Genomic DNA, 11,982 nt, shown 5'->3' on the forward strand with positions numbered 1-11,982 from the left:
TAAAGAAGGCCTGGTGTCTCTGCTGCCACTTACAGATTTCAGAAACGTGTTGTCATTCTTTAATCATGATCATTATTGGAGAATATGATTGAAATTTTAATTATTAAGTAGGGGGAATTGTGAAGCACTTTCATCCAGCATCTCGGGTGCCTGGTGTGATCGACCATAAGTGCAGCTGATGCAAACCTGGAAGCCGTTATCACAGCTCCCTGGCCCTCGCCGCGGTGGAGGCAGCCGTCTGTCTACCTCCTGCCGGCTGCCTGTCTCCTAAAATGTCTGCATGCTGTTTACTGCAGAGCCAGTGTTTGAACCAAATGCTCAGTAATGTGAAAACATCAATTATTTCCTTCCTACATTTAAATGAACTATGATTACCCTTGATTTAATAGCAAAGGAGCATTTCCAAGGTACAAAAACATTTCAGCCATTAAGCTCAAAGTTTGTGTTTAAAATATATGTTTGTTTTCTTCTACAGAGCAATGGGCACTAAATTTATTAGCTTCGTGCTCACCATGACAGTAACTCCATGTCTGTGGAATTCTGTAGTCTGCATGTGTTAGGCTGTGGGTAGGCAAGCTTGTCAATGGAGAAATACTGACTTTGCCAGAAATTCGTAAATTTTTAGGAAAGTGAAGAGCATATGGTCACTATGACTTGCTAGTATCCTTGGTCTAAACCTTATAATTACCAGAAGCCATTTTCATGTTTTTTTTTTTCTTTTTAAAGTGCATATCTTTATTTGGACAGCCTCAAATCCCTTCATCTTATCTGGAGGGAAGACAGGAATGAAAACCATGATAGTATCCAGGAGGGATTTTAAGGCAAGGCTGAGCTTTCTAAAGCTACAAGCACTTCCTTCCTCAGAGAGTGTCTGCTGACAGCCAGGGCCTTGTTAGTGGCCCAGTAGCCAAAAGAAGCTACTTTCAGAAGTGGTACTTAGCACCTGCCCTCAGTGATCACCATTTTTCAGGTAAGACTTGTTCTCCAGGTTAATTACAGTGGAAACCTGATCGAACTTGACAGTCAGTGTGTTTGTGGGCTTCTCTTCCTGCCAGTCTGCAACCTAAAGGAAATGCTGTGGTCTCTCTCTTAAGAATGAGAACATTCTCAGAAATGCCCTTGAAGTGACTATTAATTCCAGAATATGGTGTGAATTAAGTAATTCATTTGGTTTTAGTTTACTTTTGAGAAAGTCCAAGCTGTGCACATGTTGAAATAAATCAGAGGCCTGTTTACAAATGGAGCCACCATTTCTTAGTGTGGAGTGCAGGGACCTGGTTCTGAGCAAAGTAGTGGGAAGGATGGAATTCCCTGAATCCCTGGATCTGTTCACAGGAATGCCTAGAGCTTCTGGCACACAGGGTAGCAGGCCTTCCTGATGCCCCAGCTTCTCTGAGATCCATCCTGCTGTCAGCCCTAGAACTCCCTCACAAGCAAGCTATTTTCCCGTTTTTCTCATCGCTGTTTAGAGGTTTCCACTTATATGTAGATTTGTCCAGGGTCCTAGGAAACTAGCTAACTGGTGCCACCATAACATTTGCTATAATTATAACAGTTCAGTTATTTGGTTTTCTCTTTGTCTCCTTCTTCATAATTTAGAGGCTTTCAATGACTTACCCCTAATGGGAGATTTCTGGCCCAGAAATGGGTCAGCAGAAACTATTATATTGAAAGTTGGTTTCTTGGTGCTGCTTACATTATTTTATTTAGATAAGAAAATGGCTGTTGATATTTTGTAAAAAAAAAAATCTATTTATCCATCAAATCACATATGCTTCTTTCCTTTAATTCAACTATCCATCCATCAGTCCATCCATCCATCCATTCATCCAACCATTCAACTTTTAATGTGTCCCCACAGGGTGAAGCAGGCATGGTGCAGGAATAGTACGAACAAATATAAACAGCAATTGATCCTACCCTCAATAAGTCATCTGCTTAGAGGACAGATTTTGGTGGTAATACAACCAAAGTTTATAATAGGAATATAATCCGTGTTATTTTAGGATGTCACAGAGGTTGCAACAAAAGATTATTTTATTTAATTCTTGTTGATGGGCACCGTGTGTTTACAGAGGAGAGTGCCTTTGACCAAGATCTTGAAAAGTGGGTTAGATATTGCTTGGGAATAATGGGCAAAGGAGGTGCCATACTCCCTCTGGATAGTCTCAGGCCCAAATATCCATTTAGGATCTCTGGAATATAATGGGCTATACTTGGCATTGGAGTCATTTAGAAGGACACAGGACAAGAAGCAGCATATCAGCAGGAAGGGCCAGGGGACACTTCTCTGAACCCCCGTGATCACTTGGGTTTGGGGAAGGAGACATGCTGGTAGGTAAGGAGCAATGCTGGGGTAGAAGCCCCAGGTGCCACATGTGCTGGCAGGAGTTCCGGGGGCACAAGGCCAAGCTGAAGAAGACACAACTTCATCGCCGTGAGCATGACTTCCAGGGATGTCCACAGCTGTGGCTTCTCCCAGGTATTTATAGTTCATTTACAGTCCTGCCTGTCAAGATCCCACACACCAACCAAGAGTTATCTTTTTTTTTTTTTTCTTCAGATGGAGTCTCGTTCTGTCGCCAGGCTGGAGTGCAGTGTCACAATCTCGGCCCACTGCAATCTCAGACTCCCTGGTTCAAGCAATTCTCCTGCCTCGGCCTCCCAAGTAGCTGGGACTACAGGTACGCACCACCACGCCCAGCTAATTTTTCTTTCTTTTTTTTTTTTAGCAGAGACGGGGTTTCACCATGTTGGCCAGGATGGTCTTGATCACCTGACCTCATGATCTGCCTGCCTTGGCTTCCCAAAGTACTGGGACTACAGGTGTGAGCCACCATGCCCGGTCCAAGAGTCATCTTTATCATAAGTACTTACTGTCTATTAACCCCATAAACATTCCACCTGCATCAGTTTTTCAGAAAACAGAACTGAACGTCAAGTTTGTCCTCAGGGACAGAGAAAGAGTTTTGCTAGCCAGTGGCTCAGAGGAAGCAGCGGCCTGTGCAAAGGTCTGGAGGTCTGAAAAGTACTCAGTGAGTTCCGGACCCGGAAATGGTTCAACATGAGTTAAGTATAAGGTGTCGCTGGAGATGAGGGGGATGGTGGAGAGGGAGGGTAGGTGGAAGATGAGGCCAGAGGGTCCAGAAAACAAAGTAGATGGTCTTAAGGAGCTGAGGTTTTTAAGCTCTAGGGAATCACTTTATGGGGGGTGTTATGAGCATATTTTATGGTATGGGGATAAAGGATGGATTACTAGGGGGAATACACTCAAGGCAGGAAGAGTGTAGGTTGTTCCAGTAGTTGAGGTAAAGAGTGGGGACCCTGAGTTAATAGGAAAGAGGAGGTGGATGCAGGAATCACTGGCCTTCTGGAATCAATCAGTTATCAGTCAGCCACTGGAGATAAAAGGGTCTGGAATACATGCACGGAGGATTCTAAGTGCCACTCATTGCAAGGACCGAGGTAAGAAGAGACAGGACAGGGTTGCATGTGGGTGAGGGAAGAGGTGGAAAAATGAGCTCAAATATTGACATTTTACATTTGAAATGCTTATGAAAATTCCAAATGGAGGTATCCAGTAGGCAATGTGAAGTATAATCCAGGAGCTCTAGAGAATGGTCTAGTTAGAGACACAGACTTGGGGCCTATCAACTATAGGCAGTCAGAACTGCAGAAATACACGAGAAGGTCTGAGGGAGGGCTTGGCTTGAAGAGAGGACCAAGGATGGTCACCTTGAAAATAACAGCGGTTAAAGGGCAGGTGGAAGACTAGCTTGCAATGTGGGCTGTGAAGGATGGCAATGGTGGGGGAAGATGGCTGGAAAGGTGGGTGAGAAGGGCACCCACAAGCTAGCAGGGGAGGGAACAGTCAACAGTGCCAAATGCCGCCACCTGCAATGAGCGGGGACTCACTACGGTAGGGACCTACACATGCTTTGTCTCATCCTTTTCATCTTTGCACAATATTAGCCTCTACTGTCTTCCAATATGACCAAAGTCTAGTCCATCTAGAGAGATCAGATCAAAAGTGAGCCTGAATCATTTACATCTAACAATGTTATCTAGACAGCATGCTTTTATTCTGAATCACCTGAACTTCCAGCTATCTGTGGTTTATAAGCTGGCATAAGCTGGCATTTTTCAGTCGAAATACCACAGGGAGAGGTATTTTAGGAGCTGATTTGGTATTCAGTTAATACTGTAGAACGTGCTCTTCCATTACCTTGAAGCTAATGACTAGCTAAATTAGTTATATGGCCCAAAGCAAAGATAAGATGGTTAGTATGTTTGACCAGTCATTAAAATGTGTGTCTTTCTGGAAAAATATTCTCTGAAGTGAAATGACACCATGATGTCTGATCAGCAATATAGCTCACCCTTATTTTAAAAGGTCTACTTTGAATGTCTCCCCAGGGTGATCATATTAAAAAAATCAAAATTTAATATGTCATTAACAGAGGTTAACTTGCTGAAAAATAAGCTGAATTCGTTGGGAATTGCTGCTAAAACATTCTGTAGCTGGAAAATATCACCCTGTTTCTCTGGAGAACGGTAGCAATAAAAACACACAGAATACACTTTCATCCCAAAATTGGCATACTTTAAATAATCCATGATTTTTTTGTTCTAAACTGGCTTAATAGGTCTGAGGCCAATAATATTTTCTATTTCCTCAGGATTTCTTCACTCAGTTTTTTTGTTTGGTAGAGCACTTAGTATTAACAAGGCACTACAGTAGGCTATAGGGGCATGAAGATGTCAGAAGTTCTATGTATAGTAGACTGCAATGTACTGGAAGCAACAGGAAAGTCAGAGAGATAAATACTTACATAAATACTAAATAGAGAAAAAACTACCTAATGAGAATTATGGGTGACTGAGCACCAAGGGGTTCCAAGGTCAGTGTGAGCCCTTCTGGCTGGAGTGGTCAGTGATATATTATTGAAGAAGGTGGCATGGGGCACCAGTAGAATTCCTGAGGCATCCAGATTCAGCACGGCCTCTGGAAGGTGACTGCCAGGTCAGCTTCACTGTCAGCTGGTGCCTCTCCTGACCCCTCCTCCCTTGTTACCAAGGATGCCAAAACTTTCCCAGCTTTCAGAATGACGACTGTTTGGTTCTACCTGGCTTATCCTTACTGATCCTGCCTAACTGGCTCTTGAATCATGTTTTCCAGAGGTCAACTGAGTCTAAGAAGACATTAAAAATCCTGAAATTGGCCATATCATCCTGCCCCTCCTTGATTTTGGACAGGATGCATTTGGGATCTGGCAGCACTTTTCTGAGGGCATCAACTACCAAGGTTGGAGGGATCTTTACATCAACCTACACTATACCTACCAGATGCTTTCTTTGACCATCTTGATATCCAGATATGGAGTATTCCCATTTCTTGGTTCCCATGGACTGAAACTTTACAGGTAAAGGCCAAAGTTTTGATTCAGCATGAATGAGAAATTCAATGTACTATAAGCTGGAAAGACTTGGCTGAAACTCAGCCCCAGCTAAAGCAACATCAGAACTGCATACACAGTGGTAAAGATCAAGTGTCCACTTTGGAAGTATAATCTTTATCTAGTGATCACTTTTCCAACATTTCCATCCAAATTTTGGAAGCACCTAAATCCAAGCCCTGCAACTATCCCACAATATTATAGTATTATTCACTTATATTTAAGATACTGTACTCCATAGAGCTAGGATGGTAGACATCAACATACAGAGACCTTTAGGGTTTTTTTTGTTTTTGTTTTTGTTTTTGTTTTTTTGAGAAGGAGTTTCGCTCTTGTTGCCCAGGCTGAAGTGCAATGGTGTGATCTTGGCTCAGAGTTTTGCTCTTGTTGCCCAGGCTGGAGTGCAATGGTGCAATCTTGGCTTACCACAACATCCGCCTCCTGGGTTCAAGAGATTCTCCTGTCTCAGCCTCCTTAGTAGCTGGGATTACAGGCATGTACCACCACGTCCAGCTAATTTTGTATTTTTAGTAGAGACAGGGTTTCTCCATGTTGGTCAGGCTGGTCTTATACTCCCGACCTCAGGTAATCTGCCTACCTCAGCCTCCCAAAGTGCTGGAATTACAGGCGTGGGCCACCATGCCCAGCTGGTACTTTCTCAAGCCAGGGATTGGATTGGGAAAACTGATGGAGTTGGCCAATTCCTATGGAAGTCACATTTCATTCCTGGAAACTTTGAATCTCAGATTTTCTTTTTTAAAGAAACTTCATCTATATATCATTTATATAATATGAAATATGTCAGTTTTAATTGTATACTTTGATGAGTTTTGGCAATATATGCACCACTACAATCAGGATGTATTTTATAACCTTTCCATGTTCTGAAAAAGGTTTTCTCACGCCCATCTGCAGTCAACACCATCCTATGCCCACCTAGCCTAAGGAAATCATTGAACTTCTTTGTGTAACTACAGTCTTGGTATTGGTAATTTCTCAGAAAGTGTAAACTCATGTTCATTAGCAGACAAATAGAAAAATGAATTACCAAATAATTAAATAATGCCTTGAAGGGCTCCAAAGTAAGTCACACCTCAAATTCTGACATACAGGCCCCTAAGGTCTCTTATGAATCCCCAGTGAAACGAATTAGTCAAATGTCAGGTAAAACCATCAGGCAATACACAAGTTCCTCCACCTTGGCTTCCCCACCTGTTGCTTGCTGGGTCACTTGCTCCCCTTTGCTTAGCCAGTTCGACCCACAAAATATCTCCTTGGAAGCCTTAGCTCTTCAAGGAGGTGACAACTGCTTCTGCAGAGCTCAGGTCCTTGTGGTCAACAAAAGCGATAGGCTGCGATCCTCTCCAGGTGAGCTGCAGAGGTTAGAAAGCCCTTCAATCACTGACTCTTGCAGCTTGGAGTATGCAAAAAGTCGCAGCGACAGAGACAGCAGTCTAGACGGTGAGTCTTCTTTCATACCGTCGAGACTGGCCCATGCAGGACCTGCTTTAGGCCTTTCTGCCTCAGTGTTTGCTTACTGCTCTAGTTCTTTTTGAAAGGCGACATGCTTTCTGGCTTGCTTCTTTTGGTAATAATGATGACTTCTTAACATTGGGATTTTAAAAAATCATCTTGGAGCTGACCTACATTTTTATACGTTCTGATGTTCCTCATTCCTTCGTACAGATCTGGGCTTCACTTCATATCCTTTCAACCTGCAGACGTGATTTTAGTATTTCATGCAGTACAAGTCTGATGGATTCTGTCAGCTTTTGTCATCTGAAAATGTTATTTTTGGGGGCCTTTCTTTTGGGGATTTTTTTTTTTTTACTAGACATGGAATTTTAGTATACTTTTTTCTTTCCATATCATTCCATTGTTTTCTGGCTTCCATTGTTTTTGATGGAGAAGTCAGCCCTCACTCTTATCACCGTGCTCTCCATACAATGAGGTTCCCTCTGGCAGCTCTTAACATTATCTCCTTATCTTGTGTTTTCAGCATTTTGACTGCAATTTGTTTTAACACATTGTTTTCTTTGTACCGCTACTGCTTAAGATTCACTGTGCTTTTTGGGTATTTAATTTGATGTTTTCCATCAGTTTTGGAAAAGTTTTCACCATTATCTTTTCAAATATTTCTTCTGGCCCATTCTCTTTCTTTTTCTTCTTGGATTCCAATTACACAGTGTTTGATATTCACCAGATCTTGGATACTCTGGTCTATGTTTATTACTTTTTTTCACTTTGTGTTTCCTTTCTCTCCAGCTTTATTAGGTATAATTGATAAATAATAATCATATATTCAACACATACAAAATAATGACTTGATATCTGTATACACTATGTAATAATTACAATCAAATTAATCAACACTTCTATCACCACACATAGTTATCTTTGTGTGTGTGTGTGTGTGTGTCTGTGTGGGGAGGACACTTAAGACCTAGTCTTAGCACATTTCAAGTACACAATACAACATTATTAACTCTAGTCACCATGCTGTACATTAGATCCCCCTGTGTTTCTATTTGAACAGTTTATATTGACCGCTCTTCAAGATCATTGATACTTACCTCTTCTGCTCAGTCTTCTGTTAACCTGTTGAATGATTTAGTCAATTCTGATAACATTCTCTTCCAGGAAAGTCTTATTACTTTTAGTAATTTTCTTCACTTAGGTTTTTTTTGATCTCAGCTCTCTGATGGGTTAAAAAATCTCTGAAACTATGTAAGCTGTTTGGCTTGTTCTTTTTGTTACGGTAGAAATCTAGAAAATAGTTTTATCATTTCTCCTCCAGTCAACTAGTTTCTATTTTTGCACTCATCTGCTCTGATCTGTTTAGGCAGAAGCTTAAACAATTCTGCTTGCTCAACTAACTCAGACACTGTGGATGTTAGGATGAAGGTACAGTTTGCATATTAAAAGATAAGCCAGTACATCTCTGAGATTTGCCATCCTCTCTGGTAAGGACTGCACTCAAAGTAACAGGAGGGCCTAACCTTAAATAAATATGCAGCCATACTGCTAGGGCAAACATCCACACACAGACACACAGACATACAAACAACCCAAGGACAGGCTTTCTGACAAGTGATTGATAGATTTATTTCAAAGCTGTCAAGTAGAGCCCAAAAAGAGTGGAATCTCAGGGTTCTCTTGGCAAGACTATGGTTCTCAGATGGGCATACAAGCTTTTTCCTTTCTGGGACAGTCACACGAAGTTAGTTAATGAGGGATTTTTATTCTTTTGTTTCTGGTGGCAGAAATAAAATATTCTTTTCAGGGCAAAGGAATGAAATCTCATCAAGAGGTTCCTGTCTAGATTCGCGTCCTTATATACAAGCCAACTTCTCTCTGCAGAATGTTCTACATCCCAGAAACCAGGATTGTTTGCCACTGATTTCATTTTCTTCTCACTGTTGCCTCTGGATTAAAAAGCCTCTCTCATTACTGCTCATCAGTGTCCTGCTGCTGGGGGAGCCATTTGTGCTGACGAATAGTTGTTTTTTTCAATGTACTGGGAAAGTGGCATTTTGAGAGAGACTTCTTCCATCTACACCCTTCTGTCTTAAGTATAATTCACTCATTCATTCATTCATTCACCCATTCATCAGTAAATATTATTGAGAGTGGACTGTGTGCCTGGCACTGTGCGGTGAATTTGATATAGACACATATAATACGAACACGATTCTAGCCCTATGGAGTATATACGTTATTAACTGATAAGTTCAGTCCAGCACACACTTACCAAGTTCTTGTATGTGCTGGGCATTTAAGAGTGTAATGACGAGTAAGATGGGCATTTCTCTGTAAGCATATGGTCCAATGGGGAAGACCTAGATACAATTTTAATACAATGCTTTACTGTTGTATAACAGAGAAACATGCAGATTGCTATGGGAATGCAGGTTGAGAGGTGCTGAGCCTAAAAGGAGGATACAGGGAAGGCTTCCTGGAGATGATGACGCTTGAGAGGAGTCTCAAAGGATGTGCAGGAGCGACAGAGGCTGCAAATGCCTGCCCAATATTCATGTTCCTCTTCTTCCTCAGTAACAGAACACCAACTATGTGCCCAGCAAAATTCTACTTTTCCAGCCTTGCTTGCATTAGGGCTGATCAGTGAGCTGTGAGTAGAGGGTTTCCTGGGGATTCCAGGGAGCTACATTCTCAGGAGGAATGGCCATGGCTCCCTTGTGACCATGGAGGTCCCACACTGTCCGTCAGTTGCATACTTCCAGCTTTTTTTTTTCATGTGAGAAAGAGTAAAATTCTATTCCTTCTCACTCCCTTAGCCTACACTTTATTTTTATTTTTAGTTTTATTGAGACAGAGTTTCACTCTTTCAACCAGGCTGGAGTGAAGTGGTGTGATCTCAGCTCACTGCAACCTCTGCCTTCCGGGTTCAAGCAATTTTCCTGCCTCAGCCTCCTGAGTAGCTGGGATTATAGGCACGCACCACCACACCTAGCTAATTTTTGTATTTTTAGTAGAGACGGGGTTTCGCCATGTTGGCCAGGCTGGTCTTGAACTCCTGACCTCAGGTGATCCGCCCGCCTCAACCTCCCAACGTGCTAGGATTACAGGCATGAGCCGCCATGCCCAGCCTCTTACCCTATACTTTAAAACAAAAACAAAAAAAAAACAGCCAAACCTAATCTTCAATCTGAAATAGTGTACTACGCCAGGTGTAGACAGGAAGAGAGAAGAGGCAGTGGGTCTGGGAAAATACTCAGCCTTGAAAAGTCAACCATAATAAATGTCAAATCCTACAGAGTATCCTTTAAATGGCAAGGGGGTACTTCAGCCTGACTCCATTTTTGCCTCACTCCCCATTTATTGACATGTGCTTATTAACATGTTTAGAAACTTAAAAATGCATTCATCCTTTACTGAAATCTGCCCAATGTCGTCTGCTATTATTTCAAATACTCATATTTCAGGAAGGCTCAGATTTAAGTGAAGGTGTCACCACAGTCTAAGTTACCATCTCCTGTCCTTGCATCCATGGCCGGGGAATTACTCTGCTATTTACCACTAATGCAGCTGCCGGGAGGATCCAGCCTCAGAGGACTTGGGTATGTTCTTCTCAAGGACAGGAAAGTCATGCACAGTGTATGTTCATTCATTTGTGAAGTTGTCCTTGTGGCCACAGTTGAAGGCCCTCATGCTCACTGTCAGCCTATACACCTGTCAGTCCTTCCCATAAGACATACTCAACACCAACCTGGTTAACTGATAATGCTGACTACAACCAAGGCAACTTCCTCCTACTTTAAAACCCAGCAGTACACAAATGGGCGCTCCCTACAGGCCAAGTAAAATTCCTTCATGCATCTCCTAATGACTCCCCACCAAAATGCTGCCAAAGAGTCAATACTGCCACCTCCCCCATGTCTGTGTACTCATCCCTGGAACTTATGAATATGGTAGCATTCATGGTTTGGTTCTGTGTCCCCATCCAAATGTCACCTTGAATTGTAATAATCCACCATGTCAAGGATGGGACCAGGTGGAGATAAATGAATCATGGGGGTGGTATCCCCCAGGCTGTTCTTGTGATAGTGAGTGAGTTCTCAGAAGATCTGACTTTTTTTATAAGAGGCTTCCCCCTTCACTGGGCACCCATTCTCTCTCCTGCCACCCTGTGAAGAGGTGCCTTCCGCCATGATGTAAGTTTCCTGAGGCCTCCCTAGCCATACAGAACTGTGAGTCAATTAAACCTCTTTTCTTTATAAATTACTCAGTTTCAGGTATTTCTTCATAGCAGTGTGAGAACAGACTAATACATCGCAACGGGAGTTTGCAGAAATGAGTAGGTTAAGGGTCTTGAGGTGGGGAGATAATTCTGGACTATCCAGGTGGGTCCAGTGAACAAGAGAAAGAGAGAGAGAGAGAGAGAGAGAGAAAGAGAGAGAGAAAGAGAAAGAGAGAGAGATTGAAACCTGAAGGTTACTTTGCTGGTTTTGAAGATGGAGGAAGGGACCTCAAGCCAAGGAATCCAGGCAGCCTCAAGAAGCCAGAAAAGGGAGAAAAGAGGATTCTCCCCCACAGCCTCCAGAAGGAATGCAGCCCTGCGACACCTTAACTTTAGGACTTCCGACCTACAGAGCTGTAAGAAAATAAATCTGTGTTGTTTTCAGCCATGACATTTGTGATAATTTTTTACAGCAACCACTGGAAACTAATACACATATTACTGAACTGTGAGAGGTAGAGGACCACTAGCCTGCATTTTCTCATAGAAGCTATAGCATAGCATTAATAATAGTGGTAATAATAATTGTTCCGCTTAAAAATTAGCTAATGCTTGCAAAGTGCTTACTATGAACCGGGCATTGCTAGGCTGAACATCCAACATACATAGTTTCCTTCAATTCACCAAGGTAGGCACTCTTAAAAAACACCCATTTAATAGAAGAGGAAAGTGAGCCACAGAGAAGTTAATTTGCTCAAAATTGCATAGCTAGGAAGTGAACTCTGGCTAGGGTCTAAACCTAGACAGTCTGAGCCTTGTAACCTACAC

At 42.3% G+C, this 11,982-nt stretch overlaps 1 protein-coding gene across 6 annotated transcripts in view; it reads right to left on the reverse strand.

The window, feature by feature from the left end:
- Positions 1-11,982, reverse strand: part of PRKN (parkin RBR E3 ubiquitin protein ligase) — a 1,380,350-nt gene that overhangs the window by 110,792 nt on the left and 1,257,576 nt on the right. The window lies entirely within an intron of this gene.

Source organism: Homo sapiens, chromosome 6 (genome assembly GCF_000001405.40).
Source record: "Homo sapiens chromosome 6, GRCh38.p14 Primary Assembly".
In the NCBI taxonomy this organism is placed as follows: domain Eukaryota; kingdom Metazoa; phylum Chordata; class Mammalia; order Primates; family Hominidae; genus Homo; species Homo sapiens.